Below are 23,718 nucleotides of genomic sequence, written 5' to 3' on the forward strand. Positions count from 1 at the left end.
CAAGGTCTCACTATGTTGCCCAGGCTGGTCTCAAACTGCTAGGCTCTAGGGATCCTCCCGCCTTGGCCTCCCAACCTGCTGAGACTACAGGAGTGAGCCACTGTGCCTGGCCAAAATGTATATGAATTTTAACACAGAAATTCTATCCCTAGAGATTCTACAAAAGGAAATAAGGATATGTCCAAGGATGCAGCCATAAAAAATGGTCTTTGTAGCATTATATATAATGTAAAATACTGGGGAACTCCTAGATACTCAGTGATTGGGAATTGTTTAAATGATTTTTAGTACATCTATATATGTAGGTATAGATAATATAATAATAATATAAGACAGCCAGTAATATAGTGTTATATAAATGTAGATATAGTCACAGACATAGATAATAACATAGACAATAACAATACAATGTCAAGGAATAGTGGGGACAGACAGGTTCCAAACAGAGAATTTCAAAAAGTACTAAGTAAATCTCACCAGGAATGAAGAAACCATAGAATGGAGCAGGAAGATATTAACTTAAAATGGCAGGCAAGAAGCAAAACCTGAGAGTCTTGAATAGTTGGGTAAATACTGTTAATGTGTTCTACAATCTTCAGGTTAAAATGTTTCTAAGCAAGGGAAGGATTTGAGGAAGGTAATGTGTTAAAATGCAAATCTGACAGAATGCAACATGGATCTGAGGCTTGAAGAGTTTACAGAGATGTGTGTGGAAAGAGATATTCTGGGTTTAGGTAAAGAGCAGGCTGCCAAACAGCAAGGACACTGAGGTAAAATCTAACTTTTGAGAAGGTTAAAGACATTCCTCTAGACTGCTACAAGAAAGGGGTAGATGGCTGATTCTTTTTGGCATTTTCTGCACATCTCTTTCAAAATGTGAACTAGATGACATCTTTAGTCAACTCCAAAACTTTATAAAATGAAATTGGGTATAAATTAAACAATGGTTAACTTCAAGACTTCCCAGTCTTGTGATTTTTATGTGATTGAGCTCTGTGTGATTCTCTGGTGTTTTGCATGGATACAAAGATAAAAGTACATCAATAATTAAATGGATATGTAAATGAATAGTGAAATGGACAGTTGGGTGGGAAAACCTATATATACACTCATATATATACGTATGTATATATGTATATACATACACATATACATATATATACATACACATATACATATATATACATACACACACTTTTTTAAGTAAAAGAAATGTAGGTACTTCAAAATAAGTGTTAAATATAATTGCACATAGTAAGCTCTACTCTCTTCTGGGCTGTCTCTTCAATTAGATCAACAGCAAATTTTCATTATGAAAGCCTTAAATAGATAAAAGAAATGACTTCAATAACACTCAAGGTTTACAAAACATATGCAAAGAACTGAAGTGGTAGAATTATCCTGATTGAGAGGGAGCAAATAATATTTATCTTTATGCTCTACTACCTACTGTTAACTCCCAAACTATCCCAGTTTACATTTCGGTAGTTTGTAACCCAAAGAGGGAGATCACTGTACCTAAATGTGCCAATTTAGGCACAGACTCAAAACATTATACAATGATTAAGTAAAGGAAAAAAGGTAGAATATGATGATGCTTTTGATGCAAAAATATCTGAAGTTAAATTTTATCTACAAAAGATTTATCAAAGGTGAAAAATATCCCATGCTCACAGATCAGAAAAATTAATATCATTAAAATGACCATACTGCCCAAAGCAATCTACAGATACAATGAAATCTCTATGAAAATACCAAGGTCATTTTTTAAAGAAATAGAAAAATAATCTAAAAATTCATATGTAATGACAACAACAAAAAAGGCCAGAATAGCTAAAGCAATCCTGAGCAAAAAGAACAAATCTAGAAGCATCACACTACCTGACTTCAAAATATATTACAAAGTTATAGTAACCAAAACAGCATGGTATTGGTATAAAAACAGACACACAGATCAATGGAACAGAATAGAGAACAAAGAAATAAATCAACACATTTGTAGCCAATTAATCTTCAACAAAGCCATCAACAACACACACAGAAGAAAGGACACTCTCTTCAAATAAATGGTGCTGAGAAAACTGGAAAATCATATCCAGAAGAATGAAACTGGACCTGTCTCTCATCATATATAATCACAATAAAGACATAAGACCTGAAAGTATAAAACCACTAAAAGAAAACATAGGGAAAACTCTTCAGGACACTGGTCTAGGGAGAGATTTTATAGCTAAGACATCAAAAGCACAGGCAACATAAACAAAAATAGACAAATGGGACTATATTAAACTTAAAAGCTTCTACGCAGCACAATAAAGTCAACAGATTGAAGAGATAAACTGCTTACTGGGAGAAAATATTTGCAAACTACACAACCAAGAGGGGAACTAATATCCAGAATATATAAGGAACTCAACTCAGCAGTAAAAAACCAACAACAATAATAATAATAATCCCATTTAAAAGTGGGCAAAGGATATAAACATTTCTCAAAAGAAGACATACAAATGGCCAACGGGTACATGAAAAAATGCTCAACATCACTTCATCAGGGAAATGCAAGTCAAAACCACAATGAGATATCTTATACTGATTAAAATGGCTATTATGAAAAAGATGAAAAATAAGAGATGTTGGCAAGGATGCGGAGAAAAGGGAATTCTTACGCATTGTTGTGAGAATGTAACATAGCCATTATGATAAACAGTATGGAGACTTCTCAAAAAACTTAAAATAGAACTACCACATGATCCAGCAATTCCATTGCTAGGTATTTATCCAAAGGAAAAGAAATCAATGTATCAAAGAAACACATGCACTCCCATGTTTCTTGCAGTGCTATTCACAATAGCAAAGATCAGGAATCAACCTAGTGTCCATCAACGAATGTGGTATATGTACCCAATGGAATACTATTCAACCACAAAAAAGAATGAAATCATGTCATTTGCAGCAATATGGATGGAAATGGAGGTCATTATATTAAGTGAAATAAGCCTGGCAGAGACAGACAAATACCACATTCTCTTATATGTGGAAGCCAAAAAAGTTTCTCTCACATAGTTAGAGGGTGGAATGATACATTCCAGACACTAGGGAGGATGTATAGGTAGAGTGGGGAATGAAGAAAAGCTGGTTAATGGGTACAAACATACAGTTAACTAGAAGGAATAGTTCTACTCTTTGATAGAGAAGCAGAGTGACTGTAGTTAACAAAAATGTATTCTACTTTTAAAATAGCTAAAAGAGAGAACTTGAAATATACTGACACATAGAAATGCTAAATACTTGGGTAATAAGATACCCCAAATACTCTGACTTAATCATTACACATTCCATGCATGGAACAAAATTTCACATGTGCCCATAAGTATGTACAAATATCATATATCCAAAATTTTTATTTTTTGAGACAGGGTCTCATTCTGTCACCGAGGCTGGAGTACAGTGGCACAATCACAGTTCACTGCAGCCTTGACTTTCCTGGGCTTAAGGAATCCTCCTACCTCAGCCTCCCAAGTAGCTAGGACTACAGGCACACATCACCATGCCCAGCTAATTTTTTCTAATTTTTTGTAGAGACAGAGTCTCACCATGTTCCCCAGGCTGGTCTCAAACTCCTGGCCTCAAGCAATCTGCCTGCCTCTATCTATCAAAGTGCTGGGATTACATGTGTGAGCCAACATACCCAGCCAAAACTTTTTTTTAATTAAAAAAAATTATGTAAGCAAAGAACAAAAATGAAACACTCCTTTCTATTATGATTCTTATCAAAGATGGTCAAGTTCATACCTATTTTAACATAGAATGCTTATAGCTAAGGGAGACAAAGAAGCAATACAGAACCACCCCGATGTCCTTTGAGCCACAAATAGAGAAATCAGGTAGTCAAACGCACGACTTTTGCTGGACATTATTCCTAAGGCAACTACACAACCCTACAGTGTGTTGCCACTAATAGAATCCACCTATAAATTCCAGTTCCTAAAAGGAAATGCCATTCTAATTTGTAAGGAATATATCCCTTTCTCAGATTCTAAAAAACAAAGCCTTAATAATTTATGAAGTTATTATGGCCCTGATGATTTTACAGGTCACAAAAGAATTACAAAAAAGAAGGGCTGTACTCATTTTCCCCGGGAGAGAAATGTTTAATGCCATACTGTCATAAAAATATTGTAAGCACATTTATATCAGCATGATCTCTTTTCAATACACTCAAACCTAAATATATATATATATACATACATACATATATATATAACTAAAATATATGTTGGCAAAATGGTTCCAGTCTACCAAAGGCAAATTGCACAGCGTATTTTTCCCACAGCTTGCAACATCACTTAAGCCTTCTCTGTTCCCCTTACCAACACACACTCTCCCCTTACAATGTTTCATATTTTTCTTTATAGTACTCACAATTAGCTGAAGTCATCCCACATATTTATTTCTTTATTGCTTTGTCTTGCCCACAGGAATGTAAGCTCACTGAGGGGCGGGAATTTAATTGTGTTAACCATTGCATCCCCAGTGCCTAGCACATGGAAGTCACTTAATATATATTTATGGAATGAATTAATTTTAAAAAGAAAAAAGAGGCAGTGAGGAAGACTGGAAGGGTCTTGAACTGCATATGCACAATCACACGATACAGTACTAATACAAATTATATTTACACTCATAAGAGTATTAAAATCTCCACCTCCCCAATAATAAACAATGGTGTTTCCTGAGTGAAAAATCTAGTCCCATTTACAGATAAATACTAAAAGACAAATGTCCTCACCTTATGTAACAAGTCTCAGAAAAAAATGTCCAAATAGTCAGCATAAGACTACTTTTAGTACTAAGAGTTCCTTGATAATGACTTTGATATTAAACTTCTGAGAGGTGCTGATTTTAATTAATAAGGTCAATTTAGGCTTCAGTTCTGTTAAACACTGCCTCTTCTCTTCTGCATAAACCTTTAAAATTAAATCTTGTCTCTCAGCTGAATAAAAATCACGGTAATTTTCTGAGTATATGTGGTATCTTTCCTCCCAGAAGAGAAGAAAATCTTTGCTCATTAATCGCACAGATAACTGAGTTATGACACTGGCATTCCAACTACCTTGAAGAAAGGAGGAAAACTGAAAGGAGGAAGTGAATGCATACACACTGAGTTAAAGGCAAGGTCAAGATTTGAATCCAAACAAGAACCACAAGATAAAGACTACCATGGCCAGTATCACCAACTTAGTAAGTACATAGTTTCCTCAAGCTGGTGGCAAAATATGAAGTCAGAGAGAGTCAATGCATGACACGGATTTGACACATCATTTCCAGCTTGAAGACAGAGGGATTCTGTAAGAAGAAATACAGGTACCTTAACGCACATGAGACAGCAAAGATATGGGTACTGTAACCCTACAAATGCACCATGGGTTGAGTAATTGCCCCCCAAAAGGTATGTCCAAGTCATAACACCCAAAACACATCAATGTGACCTTATTTAGAAAAAGGGTTTCTAGCAGCCGGGCATGGTGGCTCACGCCTGTAATCTCAGCACTTTGGGAGGCCAAGGCAGGCTGATCATGAGGTCAAGAGATCGAGACCATCCTGGCCAACATGGTGAAACCCCGTATCTACTAAAAATACAAAAATTAGCTGGGCATGGTGGTGCACGCCTGTAGTCCCAGCCACTCGGGAGGCTGAGGCAGGAGAATCGCCTGAACCCAGGAAATGGAGGTTGCAATGAGCCGAGATCATTCCACTGCACTCCAGCCTGGCGACAAAGCAAGACTCCGTCTCAAAAAAAAGAAAGAGAAAGTGTTTCTGAAGATGTAGTTAAGAAACCCAAGATGAGATCATCCTGGGTTAGGCTGGGAGTGGTGGTTCACACCTATAATCCCAGCACTTTAGAAGGCAGAGGCGGGCAGATCACTTCAGGTCAGGAGTTGGAGACCAGCCTGGCCAACATGGTGAAACTCTGTCTCTACTAAAAATACAAAAATTAGCTGGGTGTGGTGGTACATGCCTGCAGTCCCAGCTACTCAGGAGGCTGAGGCAGGAGAATCTCTTGAACCTGGGAGGCGAAGGTTGCAGTGAGCCAGGATTGCACTACTGCACTCCAGCCTGGGTGACAGAGGGAGACTCTATCTCAAAACAAAACAAAACAAACAACAAAAAAAAGATCATCCTGGATTTAGGATCGGCCCTAAATCTAAATCCAGTGATGGTATACCCATAAGGGAAAGGCAGAGGAAAAACTGACACAGAGATAAAAGGGAGAAAGCCATATGAAAGCAGAAGCACAAATTGGAGTGATACCACTACAAACCAAATATCACTTGCAGACATCAGAGGCACAGAATGGATTCTCCCTCAGGGCACCTGAAGGAACCAACGCCACCAATGCCTTGATTTCAGACTTCTGGCTTCCTGAATTGTTAAAGAATGAATTCCTACTGTTTTAAGATAGTTGGTTTATATAATTTGTTATAGGAGCACTAAGAAACTAATACAAACACATAAGAAACTGAATTCTGTCAACAACCTAAATGAGCCTGGAAGCAGATTTCTCTCCAGAGCCTCTAGACAAGGACTCAGCCCAGGGGATGCCTTGATTTCAGCTATGTGAGAACCTGAGCAGAGAACCCACGGACACTGTGGCAGACTTCTGACCTATGGAGCTGTGACCTAATAAATGGGCATTGATATAAGCCACCAAGTTCATGGTGATTTATGTATCAACAGAAAACTAACCAGATATTTACAGTTTAATTGTCTTGTATTATTATATTAATACTTAGAATCTAAAGTTATATAAAAGTTTTGATGGTAAGTATCCTTTTCTTGACCTTAGTGAAAATGTCCTTAATTAAACAGTATTTCTAAAATTGTGATGGAAAGAGCACTAGAGCTCAGAAAGATGTAAATGGGTAGGTCATGGGAAAACTGTCCTAAGAGCACAGTGTTGAGAAACCCTGAGCTTTAGAAAGTATGAATTGTAAAACTCAAAAGCAAAGCACAGTTTCAGAAAGAACACATGCTCCCTCCAAATTTACTAACATTATATAGACCCAAAGTTTAATAAAGGTGGCTTCAATATAAACTTAATATTTCAGTAAACATTTTTACATACATGACTTACAAACTTCTTCAGTTAAAAAAAAAAAATTCTGAAATTCTTGGAACTGTCAGAGAGTAAGCTCTGTAAAAAGGCAGAGGCTATCCCTATCTTGGTTATTAATATTTCCAACAATTAGAAACATGTCTGTGAAATAAGATACATTTAGTATCAGGTAAGTAAATGGGCTGATGAAGAGAGAAAATATTGTCTCTCCAGCTTATTTCGCCTGACTCTCAATGTGCAGGTTTCTGCTGGAAACAAGCTAGCCTGCTTCCTGCCCAGTATGCTGCCTCTTCCATAGCTTTGCTTATCCCCTTCTTGCCTGGGGTGCCTGCCCCCACCCCCAACCTTTTTTTTTTTTTTTTTTTTTGAGACAGAGTCTCAATCTATTGCCCAGGCTGGAGTGGTAGAATCACGGTCACCATATCCTCGACACCCCTGGGCTCAGGTGATTCTCCCACCTCACCCTACTGAGTAGCTGGGACTACAGGTATGCACCACCACGCCTGGATAATTTTTGTATTTTTTTTCTAGAGATGGGGTTTTGCCATGTTGCCCAGGCTAGTCTCAAACTCTTGGTCTCCTGTGATCCACCCACCTTGGCCTCCCAAAGTGCTGGGATTACAGGTGTGAGCCGGTGTACCCAGCAGCCCCATTTGTTTTCTATCCAGTCATACCCAGGTTTCAAAATCTAACTCAAATACTATCTCTTTATAAATGGTATTATAATCCACATGTGATAGGCACTAAACAAATACTTTAAAGTTCATTCATTTTTTTTTTTTTTTTTGAGATGGAGTCTTGCTCTGTTGCCCAGGCTGGAGTGCAGTGGCACAATCTTGGCTCACTGAAAGCTCCACCTCCCGGGTTCATGCCATTCTCCTGCCTCAGCCTCCCGAGTAGCTAGGACTACAGGTGCCTGCCATCACACCCAGCTAATTTTTTGTATCTTTAGTAGAGACCAGGTTTCACCATGTTAGCCAGGATGGTCTCAATCTCCTGACCTTATGATCCGCATGCCTCGGCCTCCCAAAGTGCTGGGATTACAGGTGAGAGCCACCGCGCCCGGCCCCTAAAGTTCATTGTTTAGCAAGTAAAGCTTGCACATGAGAAAGGATAATGATTCTTTGATATTAATTCATCAATTTAAATAGTACGCGGTTCATTCATTGTATTATGATAGACGTTGTGATGGTTAACTTTATTTATCAAGTTACTCAATAAGTAGGGTACCCAGGCATTTGGTCAAACATTTTTCTGGGTATGGCTGTGATGGTGTTCCTGGATGAGATTAACGTTTGAATCGGTACACTGAGGGAAGCAAATGGTCCTCCCTAACATGGGTGAATCTCATCCAATCAAAGACCTGAATAGAGCGAAAAGGCTGATTAAGAGGAAACTCCTCCTGCCTGACTGCCTTGAACTGGGACACAGGTCTTTGCCTTTGAACTGGAACAGAAACACTGGCTCTTCTTCAGTCTCAAGCCCGCCAGCTTTCAGACAGCAACTACACCATCACAGGCTCTCCTGGGTCTCCAGCTTGTCAACTGCAGATCTTGGGACTTCTCAACCTCTGTAATCACGCGAGCCGGTTTCTTAAAATAAATCTTTATTTCATACACACACACACACACACACACACACACACACACACACACACACACACAGAGCTCCTACTGGCTCTGTTTCTCTGGAGAGCCATCATACAGATATTTATTCTTACAACTGAGCCTTTGTTCATATTACACAGCAGTTCTGATAAGCATCTGGAACGTGGGTATTACATGGCACTTAACAAGATTAAATTATTGTTCTTCCTGAGAATTTTTCCAGAAGTATTAGAAAAGACATCCACCCTTTTTCTAGGATTACCCTCTCCACCAGGAACCATTTAACTACCAAGTGGATGAGAATAGGAGCCTATCTGAGAACAAAGCAGAGTAGATGTAGGCAGAGTAAAGAGATGGCGAGAAAGACACATACACGGAGCATCACAGACAGAAATCAAGCCCCTAAATCCAGCTGTATCCACAAGTCTTTGACTTCTCAGTCATGTGAGCAAATAAACTATTTTATAAGTTAATTTGAATTGGGTGCTATTGTTTGCAAATAAAGTCTTGACTAATACAATACTTCCCTGTGCGAAGTGGGGAGCCTACCATACCTGTGCATGAAAAGGCTGTCACCTTGGCTGCATCAAAAGTATTGTTTAAGGTCAAGGGAAGGCTAAAACTTTAACAAAATAAAAAGTATCAACACCAGTGTGTCTATTTGCCAAATTGAAGTGGGTGCTATATAGTTCCCATGGACTCTAGAAACTTAATTCATAAGCTATTATATTTATATACTCAATGGAGAGCATGAATTTTCCATTATTAGTATTTCTAAACTTAAAACTACCAAGAGTTATCTTCAAAGATCAAACTCCTTACCAGGTTCTAGTTTTCCAGAGTTAAGGAGGTTAAATGAATGTGTTACTTACATTTCATTTAAAATTTTTTTTTACATCTATTGAGCCCTTACTATATATGCCAGGAAGGCACAATAAGCATTATACATTTTAATGGCCAATTCATTTCCATGAAGTATGTACCATTACTATTATTGCCCTATTACAATCTTTACTTTAAAGATTAATATGAGATTAAAATAATGAGCCTAACAATAACAGTCACGGTGCTAAACACTTGTCAAGAGGGTACTATTTGCCACACACTGTACCGTTTCAAAAGAAGCATCCTATTTAATCTTTAGGATTATCTTCTAAGGTAGGTACTATTATCCCCGTTCTACAGATGAGAAAACTAAGGCTTGGAGACTGAAATGCAGACTCAAGGCTTATACGCTACAACAGAATCAGTCTGAAAGGTTTGAAAACATTCCATATCACATCCAAATAAATTGTATACCATTATCTGAAGTGCATTTCAAGTTGTGTAATACAAGCTTGAACTCATCTACATTATTTATGTTATTGAACTGCCATGTGGTTTACATTTACATTTTCCTCTTTAATTCCTCATCTCTGGAAAAAGTAAAGACTCATACTAAAGGAAATATTTATTCCAGCTCAAATGAGTAACACAGGATCACTGAGTTAACACTTTTTATTTCACAAACTGTTCCAAAACTGGGCAGACTTCAGATATACAGAAATGTGGTTTCAGATTAACAGAGCTTTAAAAAAGCTATTACTAAACTGTGAAGTCCTGTTGGAGTAAATCTGATCCCTACTGTGTGGAGGAGACATCTCAGGTCCTGAAAAATGTTCTCTACAAGTTTTCACATTGCAGATATCCAAAGCACATATTTTCTTTTTGTTTTTGTTTTTTTCTTGAGAGACAGAGCCTTGCTATGCTGCCCAAGCTGGCCTCAAACCCCTGAGCTCAGACAATCTTCCAGTCTCATCTTCCCAAATACCTGGGACTACAGGCACGAGCCACTGAACCCAGCTCTCAAAGCACATCCTTTAAATATATTTTGTACAAAAACTACATTTAAGGAATTTTCTTGTCAGAAAGATGCATATAACTATATATGAATACTTTTAGAAGCATAAAATGCACTAAAAACATTAATCCCATTAAAGAAGGGTATAATCTTTTATTGAATTCACATAAGTATAGATCACAGACATACACTCATATATAACAAATGTAACTGAAAAGGTACCTACTGACAGTTTATCACTGAGCAAACTCCACATGACAAAGTTTCAAACAATTGTCTTACTTTGGGCATTAAAAGTATTCTTACAGTACATATTAATTATCAGAGCTGTCCCTGAAACCAGCTGCAGAAGTGTAAATAGGAAAAAAGAAACAAGAGGCTGGCCTAGAAATCAAGCTCCAGTCAGTCAAGACAGGCTCCCCCAGAGAGCCAAAGGGTCGACACAGAACACCCACACACTTAGTAAAAGGTACCTTCCTCAACCAACTGGAGTGGTTGAGTGCTTCATCTACAGCAACTGGCAATTTCAGTTATTTGGGTTTTCTTTAATGTGAACCTAATATTATATGAGAGAGTTCAAACTCTTAACATTGGCCAAAATCAGAATGTAATTACATCTGATTTCTTTACTATGATCATTAATTTTTTTTAAATGAGAACAGTGGGTCTTAAGAAGTTGAAACAATAGAGGGAAGCATTAACTCAGGCTGTCATTCTTATAAACCTGCCAAACTGACCCAGACTGCGGCCCAGGCCCTGGAGAAAGCCATGATCAGGTAGGCATATTAATGCATGATACACCATCTAGCATTTGTTTGATTTCACAAAATCTTCTTTAATATTGACATATGGCATATACTTTTTGAAACTAGCTTTGATAAAATTGACAGTGTCCCCTCAACTATAAGGTGAGATTTTAGGGTTTTGCATGTTTGCATTAGGTGCCCTCAGTAGTCATCCTGCTGTGTGTTTGCTTTATGAGCAATGAAGTAAAAGAATACAAAAACCCTTTCTCCATACTCATTACCTGTTCCGCCACCTCCACCCAACCCCTGAGAAAGTCCTGCTCAGAACTAAACCTAAGTTCTATTCCAAGAGTTTGGAGAAGGGGATTACCTCTATCTCTATTATTTCTGAGTAGAGCCAGGAGAAGTCTCAATTTCATGTTCCAGTAGTCGTGTAATATAGACCTTGAATCATAACCCTCACCCCTTGAGCCATGAACACGTTTAAATCTGCATAACTTCAAAATCATGTTTCTGGCAAAAAACAGATTAAGCTTTAAATGGATGTCCTCAAAGATGAACTGAGACCTTCTGAGTCTTCTGCAGTCTAACAGTTACCGCACCTGTCTAAACTTTTTTTATAATGAGTACACAAGCATATGTGTATAAACATAAGGACATCAAGACCCCAACCCCATCACTGAACCTAGTTTGACAGAAGCTTCCTGGATAGCCTACACTTCTCTGCATGAATACAACTGCATGATACTTACTGGGGAAGTAAGACATCTCGAATGAGAGCCAGAAGATTGCTGTCAGAATCAACACTGGCCTTCTCCTTGCCATCCCCAAACTCCTGGTTCACGAGTAGAGATGTGGTTTCTGAGAGCAACCGCAAGCTAAAGAGTCTCCACTCCACTTGAAAGAAAAAAAAAATGCCAAGAATGTGACTCCATGGAGACAGAATGAAAATAGAATGTGTAACTGATGCAATTCTTGCTGGTGTCATCACACTTACCATTTTGGCTTTGAACCAAGGACACCAAGGGTGGCAGTATATAGTCAACAACCTAAAAGAAAGCATGTAAAAGACTCAGAATCTCTATGAACACAAAACTGATATCAACCACTATCTATATTTTTTCCACAGACAGAATCCCTAATCAAAGGAGTGAAAAAAAGCAACGGCTAAGTTTATCCTGGATTTAAACTCTCCATGACATTTAATAAACCACCAAGCTCATTTAAATCTAAAAAAGTCCTCAGGTCAAAATGACATTATGAAAATCAAAACAGTAATTTATCAAAACCTTCAGGGTCTATGAAAGGAACTTTAGAATATAATGCAAAATCTAGTTGGCACAGGTTGGCATTAAACCATCAAATTAGTATGTATAAGCTGGTGATCATTACATCAAGTTTAACCTAAACAACAATCAAAATGTTGGGAAAAAAAAGACACAATAGTCCCCATGTTTTATCAAATACATCAAATAACTATGACAAGTTCGTCTTGGTTATTTTTAGAAATAGACCACAAAGATGTAAATCCACTATACAAACCACCCCTGTGAGTTCCTAGTTGTATCAGAGAACAATCAAATATGGTTTAAAACTTAACCCCAAAAAACAAGTATTTTCCTCCAAAATACCAAAAAAGAAAGAATCCCTACTCCAGTCTAATGATGAAAACTACTGTTTCATTTGATGAACTATTTTAGTGACAATAAACAAAATTCCCATTGTTTGTGTACTTGTTCTCTCTATACTGATAAAAGAGCAGGAGAATCTGTGCACAGCCAAACGACATCTTGCCGTCCATACCAACAAAACAACGCCCTGCACAGGCAAGAATCTCCATATGTGGCTGGTGGCCCATCAGTATTAACATATTCTATCTCCACTTGACATAGGAAATTTATATGTGACAGTATATCTCAATATTTTTACAAGGACCCTAAGAACCAGGGGTGTTTTCTTCACCCTCTTCCACTAAGTGATGTCACATCACTGAAAGCACAGATATCATGCTTCACCAAGGTACTTTGAGAACTCCAAACTTCCAGTTATGTCTAAAGAAAAAACTATGCAAAGGAAAGAAATATATACTGCTATCAATACTACCAACATGATCAACAGCTATCTTAAAGGTTGAATAGTGTATATCAGGAGAGGAGTAAGACTGAAACAAACGATCTAAGTGCCCATCTCTAGAAATTTAAAAACGAATAAACATGGCCAAAAAAGCAAGCTTGTCAGAAGATGAATACAGAAAAATCAACAGTATTTATGAGACAGAGTAGGAATGAGGCTTGGCTCCAGCTCATCCCTGCTACAGCATTCTTTCATACATTCCCAGTGATCACAAAACCCACACCAGTACCTCACTGATGCCATACCCGCTAACCCCAAGGCTTTAGTCATGCTATATTGTTCCACTGAGCTCTCAAAATGTTTAACCGTGGCTTTTACTTAAAGAATTCCAGGAACTGGCCTTACGAGACCCAAACTATCAAACCAAAGTTGTGGAGTGTACCACCTCAGGAGGCTCCAATGAAGCCTCGTCTGGGAGAACTCTGTCGGCCTCATGTCCTATTGCATTGAGAGCCCAAGAACTCATGGTCAGTAACATATTCATTCAGGGCTTGTCTGCGATCACCAGACATGGGGTGCTTTTTTCTCCTCTGTGGAGGGAGGCATGTGAGCCAGCAGGACAGCTGGACGTGACCCCTCCGTGACTGATGGAAGGCCACCTGAAGTTTTGATTCAGCACTGCTACAACTGGTGAGTTTTTCCTCCAGCCTCCCTGTGACCCCTCACAACCCACCCCAGACAATGCTTTTCCTTCCCTCCTGGTCTTCTATTTGTTGGGTCTTTCTTTTTCTTTCTTCTTCCTTTTTCCTTCCCTTCCTTCGCTTTTCATTAACTTAATTGACTCAGTCTGAAGACACCCGTGTGGCACTGATTCAGCCTCAGTAGACACCCATGTGGCACTGGTTCAACCTCAATAGACACCCACGCAGCATAGGCAAAAACAGTCATTCAGTTCAGCTGGTAGGAAACTCTGTCTGGCACTGGAATCTGTAATATTCTTTAAGTACATTCCCTCCCTTTGCCACGCCTTGTGGGAAAGGGAAGGCTGTGGACTTTGTCGTCTGTCTATTCAAGCATGCAAGCCTACAGACCCTGGGTGCTATCTTTGTGAAGAGAGGACTGATAGCACGTGGGTCCACAGTTTGCGTCACTCACGTCCTGATCCATTTTTCCTTCTTGTGTGTTTAACTTGACATCTGATTGCCCCATGCAGACTGTTGGATGACTTCTTGCAAAGAGAAGAGGATTTACCTACGCTTCCACCAAAAAATGGAAAAAAGATGACTTTCTCTTGTAATGCAGCTTGGCCCCCACAGCTGTGCTGCAGTGAGAAGAGTCATCAACAGCTGCTTTGCTCTTACGGAAGCTACACAGAAAGGCAACCCAGAAATCTGGCATGCGAGCAAAAGGTTAAGGATTTCTTACCAGCCAGGCTTCTGACCTGCTTCTCTGTGCACACCAGTTGAGTGAAATGGTAAAGATAATTGTTTGTCTCAAGGTCTATGACCCCTATAAGCCTGCTGTTTGGCAGACTTGTCAGTTACAAACGTTGCTGCAGGTCCTTGAAACAAAAACTGGACGAGGTTTCCCTTTCATCTTATTTTATGTCTTTGAGAGCTTGACCTTATGACCATGGTGGGGTACCCTCTCTTGCTATCTAGCATCCAGAAGGTGGGAATTCCGAGGCTCATGTCAGGTAGCCAGTCTGAAAGGACCTGGAGACTGAGACACATAAGCACACGTTCTTTGTCCCAAACGTGTCAAGCACTTGGGGATGAGTTCTGTCTTAAAAGGTCCCACCCCAAGGGGCTTTTGTCATCTTTTGCTATCTTAAATCTATTCCTGAGAGTAAATTCTTGGGGACCATGGAGATGCCTCCTCTACCCCCTCTCTAGAAATACCATTTGCTTATATTATAAAAACCTGAAAAATTACCATCTGAGCCTTAAAGGGCTTTTGGATTGAGTAGCTATTGAAACTAATTTCATCATTAAAAGAAAAGCACTTTTCTTATTCTCAACAATTTTTTAAAAGGTTTAAATTAAAAGAAGGATGCATAAGAATGTCGTGGCTAACCTTACAAATTATCTTGAGCAGCTGAAATTCCTAGCAAGCTTGAAAATGGCTACTCTAGTTTCCTTCTGGGAAGACCAATGACAACTGCCTCATGCTGTAGCTCAGTAGCTAAGGCTTTGCCTTTTCACAATGGCTGCCTGGGTTCAATACCTGGCACAGGGAATAGTACTTTCTGGTTTTATATTTGTGTGACCTTTGCCATTTATTATTTTCCCCTCCATGAACAACTTCTGACTTCCTGTCTTGAATTTTCCTTTCTCTGATCTACCTTTGAGGTGATTATAAATCCTGTAAAGACTGCTTGCCCTAAAAGGTTAGGCAAGGACAATAACTTGTTCAGCAGGAAGTAGCTTCTGAAGATGAGATCTTCGGCCCTTTCTCCTTAAGCATAAAGAAGGTGAAGTTTCTCAGCAGGGAATGAGACAGAGTAGCAATGGGGCTTGGCTTCAGCTCACCCTCACCAGAGCATTCTTTAATACATTCCCACTGATCACAAAACCCATACCACTACCTCACTGATGTCTTACCCACTAATCCCAAGGCTTTAGTCATACTCTGTTGTTCTTCTATGCTCCCATAATGTTTAACCATGCCTTTTACTTAAGGCATTCCAAGAACTGTCCTTAGGAGATCCAAAATAAACCAAGATTGTAGAGTGTTCCACCACAGGAAGGAATGGCAGCCTTGTTGCCATTGGCCAGACCACCAGGTGGCCCATTTCTCAAGATAACATCGCAACCAGTTGTGCTGACCTGCATACCTACCCTTCACATTCTTTGCCCAGCCCAGACTGCATACCCTATCCTATTTATCAATTCGTATGTTTTGACTAATAAAAATTTCCAACCAGCTCTTCAGAGAGTCTGTCTGGGAATTCTCTCTCTCTCTCATGATGCTTCCTTTATGCCCGGGCATAAGCTCCAGTGAAGCCTTGTATGGGAAAACTCTTTTGGCCTCATGTCAATTTCTATTGCACTGAGAGCCCAAGGACCATGGTCAGTAACATTTATATGTACCTACAACAACCAATTGAATAACATAATTCAAAAAATATTTAATTTACAACAGGAATATCGTGATCTTAGCAAGAATATATATATGGATATAAATGTATATCTGCATATATGTGTATGTGTATATGTATATGAACATATTTACAGGTACTATAGTCATTGATGGACTTCTGGGTTCTAGACCAACGTGTAAACAGCTTGGAAATCATCACAACCAACCATACAACAAAGAAAAAGCAAACAAACATGAAAGTAACTATTGAGATGAGCTGACACAGTATGTAGATAAAGGGATTTTGTCACTGCCACTATCAAAACTTAATAGCTACTAAGGGCTAGGAAAAAAAGACTCAATTTATAAATATGTATATACACAAATATAAAATAACCAACAGTACATAAATAGGGATATGTAGAAAAGCCAGGGTTTCTTGGAAGAGGAAGGAAGTACGTGTTATTGTCATTGCTGTTGCCTTTGTGTTTAATCACCAGAAACAAATAGTTACGAAGAGTTAGATTTAGAGGCCTAAATTAGAGCCTCTAATTTGATGACTTGGGTCTTTTATGTGTGTGTGTGTGTAAGATATTTAGAGTAACTTACTTTTACATTAATTTGAAAACGTACAGATGAAAATTAAAAGTCATCTAGATAATAATCCAGAGGATACCAGACAAAGATAAGAAAATAACTTGAAATTAAAAGAAAAGATTTGCTCAAGATGACATAGGAAAAGTTCTAGCCTCAGCCTCTGGCCCCAAATCCCTGGAGGTCACACTCACAGAGGAGGACTACTGTAAAATAAGAGAGAACGGCTCCAAGGGTACTCAAAGTGAGGTGGCAGAGCTGGGCAAGAACAGAAAGGAGCTCTTGGAAACACAGTTAAGTATGACTACCTGGGCCCAGCATCAGGAAAAATGTGTTCTTTTTAAAAAAATATTTTTATATTTCAATACATACAGTTTTCTAAAGAACTGTATGCATTTTATTTATTTTCTGCATTTAAAAACATCATTCTGAGGCTAGGCACAGTGGCTCATGCCTATAATCCCAGCACTTTGGGAGTGTGAGGTGGGAGGATAGCTTGAGCCCAGGAATTCGAGGTTACAGTGAGCTATGAGTGCACCACTGCACTCCAGCCTGGGCGACAAAAGACTCTGTCTAAAAAAATTATTTAGGCTGGGCGTAGTGGTTCATGCCTGTAATCCCAGCACTTTGGGAGGCCAAGGTGGGCAGATCACGAGGTCAAGAGATCAAGACCATCCTGGCCAACATGGTGAAACCCCGTATCTACTAAAAATACAAAAATTAGCTGGGTATGGTGGCGCACGCCTGTAGTCCCAGCTACTCAGGAGGCTGAAGCAGGAGAATCACTTGAACCCAGGAAGCAGAGGTTGCCGTGTGCCAAGATCACACCACTGCACTCCAGTCTGGCGATGAAGAGAGACTCCATCTCAAGAAAAAAAAAAAAATTAATTAAACAAATTTAAATAATAAATAATAAAATCATCATTCTGAGAATGCATCAATAGGCCTCATCAGACTACCAAAGGCTTCCAAGATACAAAGATCTTTAAGGCACAAGGTTAAATTTCCTTAAGTGTAGTCAGAATGCGGCAGCAGAAACTCAATGAAATAAAGTTATGAACAAATCAGTGTCCAATGTCAAGAAAACCACTCTGCTGGGTTGACTAGATTCCTGTGCCTTCCCATATAAGGATATAAGGGTGAGGCACCTGTACAATATTTCTAGCCAATCCCCATGTCTTGAAAAAAGACTAATTTCACCAAAGGAAAAACATCTTTCTAACAAAAGGGTCATCAAGATAAAGACACTTCCAAATAAGAACTCCTGATCAGGGTGTTTCAAATGCTAACCAAACACCCCTGAAGGCTATATTCCTGATAATGTACTTGACAGGTAAACCATCCTTCCCACCAGCTCCCAAGTGCATGTTGAGGCTGGGACAGCCCAGGCAAGGCTCCTTTCTTAAACATCTCTCCCACAAGGGCTGGGGGAATGGGTGGACTCTCAACCCGAAGCTAAGTTGAAGGGAGGTGGACGCAAACATGATTCTTTCTGCCTACAACACCCACTCCCCACCCGGAAGTTAACATCTACTTGCCTTCAAGACTTACGTCAAGAACTTCCTCCTCTTAAGATCATCTCCAGACTCTGTCAGACTAAATAGGGCTCCCAGCATGCACGGTGTACAACACCAATAAAGCACTCTTCAAACTGTGCTCCAATATTGGTCATCCCCTCCATCCTCATCCCACCCCCTCCCCTGACACCACAGAGGAGCCATTCAGAGTAGGACCTGAATCTGGCTCACTACTTTCTCAAAGATGGTATAGCCAAGCATGGTGGCTCACACCTGTAGCCTCAGCTACTTAGGAGGCCGAGGTGGGAGAATCGCTTGAGCCCAGGAGTTTGAGACCAGCCTGAGCCACATAGTGGAACCCCCATCCCTAAAAAATGAATAAACAAACAAATAGATGGTTTATCAAAGGTACTTACTAAGAATATATGAGTAAACCAAATAGCTAAAAAGTTTTCTTGGGGCCACTTTTTACATCACTGCTATAACTCTATTCATACTATTTTTGTATAAATAAGGTATTTTTTAAAAGATTTGAACTTATAAAAGTATTTGTTTGTGGTACAGAATGTCAATTTCTTTAGAACAAAACAAAACAAAATCTGATTTGTTTTTGTATCCTAGTTATCAGCTGAGGTCACCCTAAACTTCGAGTTTCAAATAAAACCGTCAGCCCTGTGTGCTATTAAGCAATTTAGTGTCCTTTCCAAGATTTCTGGGAATTTGCAGAGGTTTATTTACTTTCCCATGATTCACTGCCAACTCTGAGTTTCTACCTCACTTATCTGCTTTTTACCTTCTCCTAACTGCTATTTGCTTCTGGAAGCCTGAATATACTGGTGGTAGCCAGACTATATAAGACAATAGAACTCTAACCCACAACCTCTACAGGAACCAGTAGGGAAGCCAAAACCACAACCTCTGTAGCCATTAGCCTGGGATGGTTAGGATTTAGTCAACAACTGTCAGCTTCAGTATTTTTTGTACTCTTCCAACTTAGGGCCGACTAGAGAAAGCCAAAAATGTTCCCCGAACCAATCACATAGGATGTCCTGCTTCTAATGAGCCCACTTCCAGTTTCCCCTGCCAAATAGCCTCCAATCAGGGCACACCTGAAGTCTTCCTTCTCCCACTCCCCTCCTTGCCTTTAAGTCTCTGCCAAATGCTAGTGATGTTGGCCAACTTCTTTGCCATAGCAACTCTGAAAAAACAACCTGTTTGTTCTCATTTGGTTGGTCTTTGTTGATTTCTACCCACCAGTGTAAGTCATAGAATATAGCCCCTTTTTAATAATTAAATTTAGAAGACTCACAAATTCTTGGTATGTATACCAGACTTTATTGAGAGTCTGGAGTAATGGAGGGTTTATAGCAGCAACACCAACAATTTAAAATTGAAGTATATCTGTTTTTAATCATCTTCAATCACTTGCAACTTTAACTTTTCTCTGCACAGCAAAAGAAACTACCATCAGACTGGACAGGCAACCTACAAAATGGGAGAAAATTTTCGCAACCTACTCATCTGACAAAGGGCTAATATCCAGCATCTACAATGAACTCAAACAAATTTACAAGAAAAAAACAAACAACCCCATCAAAAAGTGGGCAAAGGACATGAATACACACTTCTCAAAAGAAGACATTTATGCAGCTAAAACACACATGAAAAAATGCTCACCATCACTGGCTATCAGAGAAATGCAAATCAATACCACAATGAGATACCATCTCACACCAGTTAGAATGGTGATCATTAAAAAGTCAGGAAACAACAGGTGCTGGAGAGGAGGTGGAGAAATAGGAACACTTTTACACTGTTGGTGGGACTGTAAACTAGTTCAACCATTGTGGAAGTCAGTGTGGCGATTCCTCAGGGATCTAGAACTAGAAATACCATTTGACCCAGCCATCCCATTACTGGGTATATACCCAAAGGATTATAAATCATGCTGCTATAAAGACACATGCACACGTATGTTTACTGCGGCACTATTCACAATAGCAAAGACTTGGAACCAACCCAAATGTCCAACAATGATAGACTGGATTAAGAAAATGTGGCACATATACACCATGGAATACTATGCAGCCATAAAAAATGATGAGTTCATGTCCTTTGTAGGGACATGGATGAAATTGGAAATCATCATTCTCAGTAAACTATCGCAAGAACAAAAAACCAAACACCGCATATTCTCACTCATAGGTGGGAACTGAACAATGAGAACACATGGACACAGGAAGGGGAACATCACACTCCGGGGACTGTTGTGGGGTAGGGGGAGTGGGGAGGGATAGCTTTAGGAGATATACCTAATGCTAAATGACGAGTTAATGGGTGCAGCACACCAGCATGGCACATGTATACATATGTAACTAACCTGCACATTGTGCACATGTACCCTAAAGTATAATAATAATAAAATTAAAAAATAATAATAATTTTTAAAAAAGAAAAAAAAAACTTTTCTCACAGGCCTTCTTCCTTCACAAGCTCTGGGCTCCTATTCTGCTGCCTAACTTTTTGGCTTCTAGGCAGCCCTCCTCTTTGTTTCTGCCTCCTTTCCTCTTTTCTTAGCTCTCCCACCAACCAATACATTTTTATTTCTTATGCAGACAAATTTTAGCTACTCTGCTACCCCCATCCCCTTTCTTCATCCAGGGTTCTACGCCACTCCCCAGTCCTACCTACAAAAGAAAGAGAAGCTCAATACAGACCATCCATGGCCTCATAGTTATAGAAAGGCCAGGCATATGTTTCCAGGTAACTGCTTTTCTGTCTTCAACCAGACCACCTTTCCAGGACAGAGCACCTATATGCAAAAGGGGGGTACTTCCCTCATAATCCAAGCTCATAATGTTATAGCAGGTAGTCAGGCAGACATGAGCAGGGCAGGAGAGGGCACCCCACCCCAACCAGGAACATCAGGCAACATCAGGTGATAGGCGGTTGTTAACTGTCTCTCTAAAATTATTGGTCACAGTCAGTGCTAGGGAAAGGCAGTCTCCCTAGATAGAAACACCTGAAACTGGTGATCAGAAGCTTCCTCGTAAGATCTAAGGAGTTAGGTGACTGGGCTCAACATGTGCACTAAGAGGCAAAATGGCAGAGTTTGGTATATGACCTTCTAGGAACATTCTAGTGGTAAAGGAAGAACTGCCTCAAGTGAGCATGTGTATAACTCCAGTAAACACAGTGCACATGCAGCCCCTGCCAAGTTCTGGAGGCCCCTGCACATACGAACAACCCACCCCAAGGGAAGCATCAGGGGGAAAGAGATGCAGACCCTGGAAGCATGCCAACATATAAAGCCCCAAGTCCAAGGTCAAACCACAAACTTGAGTCTCTCAAGTTGCCCACTTGGCCCTCTTCCAACTGTACTTTACTTCCTTTTGTTCCTGCTATAAAACTTTTAAATAAACTTTCACTCCTGCTCTAAAACTTGCCTTGAGTCTGCCTATGCCCCCGAGTCAAATTCTTTCTTCTGAGGAGGCAAGAACTGAAACTGTGGCAGACCCATACGGATTTGCCACCACTAACAATACCTCCCCCAAAGATGGGAAATTCTCTCTTCCAAATATCCATTTTAAACAGTATTATCTATTTATTTATTTCCTTTAACATCCATTGATTTTTATCTAAAGTAGTGGCTAAATTGTCTTAGGACCTGAGAAATTTCAAACCCGTTAACACACCAACACAAAGAATGAGTTAATACTACACTTATTGATTAATCATGTTACAGGATGTTTGGAGAGTGCAGTCTGATACATGATGAACCTCAATCTGCATTTTGAGAAATCAAATTAAAATTGTACGCTTTAATGACAACCCAACACCAAACAGCAACAATGCAGCAAGACAATAAAGAACAACAACAAAAAAGGACAAAGCCCTAAAAATTATCTTCATCAAATCACTTCTTTTTTTTTTTTTTTTTTTTTTTTTTGAGACTGAGTCTCGCTCTTTCACCCAGGCTGGAGTGCAGTAGTGCGATCTCAGCTCACTGCAAGCTCTGCCTCCTGGGTTCACGCCATTCTCCTGCCTCAGCCTCCCAAGTGGCTGGGACTACAGGCGCCCACCACCGCCCCCGGCTAATTTTTTGTATTTTTAGTAGAGACGGAGTTTCACCGTGTTAGCCAGGATCGTCTCGATCTCCTGACCTCGTGATCTGCCCGCCTCGGCCTCCCAAAGTGCTGGGATTACAGGCGTGAGCCACCGCGCCGGCCCATTAAATCACTTCTAATTCATAGTGAGAAAACCACGACGACACAATCTGACACAGTATATGACAGCAAACATGTTCTAAACCTTTGAGTGGGCATGGCTTTGCTCACTGGTACGGGGTCACCTTATTAAAATAGAGACTGAATCATTGAGACAATAGACAATGAGTACCTTTTTGCTGCTGTGGAGTTGGATAATTTGCTCACCAATGTTCTGCCCTTCCAGAATCTTCCACAGAATTTATACATATACGTTATATATTTATATATACTACTATATGCTACATATTTTATGACATATATAATATATATTTAATGGTATTAAAATAAATACCATTGCACCCTAATCAAGCTCCTCTGTACCAGTGATCTCTATTATAAAATTCTATCAGTCATTATTTATTTTAGTGTAGGGATAATATATGGAATAATCCAAGGAATTTTAATAATTAATACTAGTAATATTGATTTCTTAAAGACATTCACTTGTGCTAAAGTTCATTTGACAATGTGCTCTGAAAGCAGAGACCTACTGAACTTTTTGAAAATGGAAATTCCTAAGTCTGGTGACTTTTATTTCGTTGCTCAAAAACTAGGACCCCCACCCATTTTTTTAAAAATGTGTGAATACATATGCACATTAGCTTCTGTGTATGTCAGTTTCTCTGCATGTTAATGATTCTCAATGGTATGTCCCAAATGAAATCAATGTCTGTGACTTAGGAATGCTAAGACAGCTCTGGGACATTTAAGCTAAATAATAGTAAATGCATTGGAAATTCATAAATAACACTTGCATCACTAAACCTTATTTTACTTGTTCTTAAAGTTATTGTTGCCCAAGATGATGCTTTGTTTAAATCTTCTTTACAATATTAAACAGCTATAAAAATGTTAAGGAATTCCCATGGCCACAT

The 23,718-nt window shown here is 39.3% G+C and overlaps 1 protein-coding gene across 6 annotated transcripts in view; it reads right to left on the reverse strand.

Moving 5' to 3' along the window:
• ULK4 (unc-51 like kinase 4) overlaps window positions 1–23,718 on the reverse strand; it is a 715,505-nt gene that overhangs the window by 422,847 nt on the left and 268,940 nt on the right. For all 6 annotated transcript variants that reach the window (NR_136342.2, NM_001322501.2, NM_017886.4 and 3 more), the window contains 2 exons: window positions 12,308–12,359; window positions 12,063–12,207 (listed from right to left, as the gene is read on the reverse strand). Coding sequence is in view for 5 of the 6 variants with exons in the window: in NM_001322501.2 (NP_001309430.1) it covers window positions 12,063–12,207; window positions 12,308–12,359 (197 nt within the window). In the remaining variant the exon portion in view is untranslated. The remainder of the gene's footprint in view (window positions 1–12,062; window positions 12,208–12,307; window positions 12,360–23,718) is intronic.

Source organism: Homo sapiens, chromosome 3 (genome assembly GCF_000001405.40).
Source record: "Homo sapiens chromosome 3, GRCh38.p14 Primary Assembly".
Classification (NCBI taxonomy): domain Eukaryota; kingdom Metazoa; phylum Chordata; class Mammalia; order Primates; family Hominidae; genus Homo; species Homo sapiens.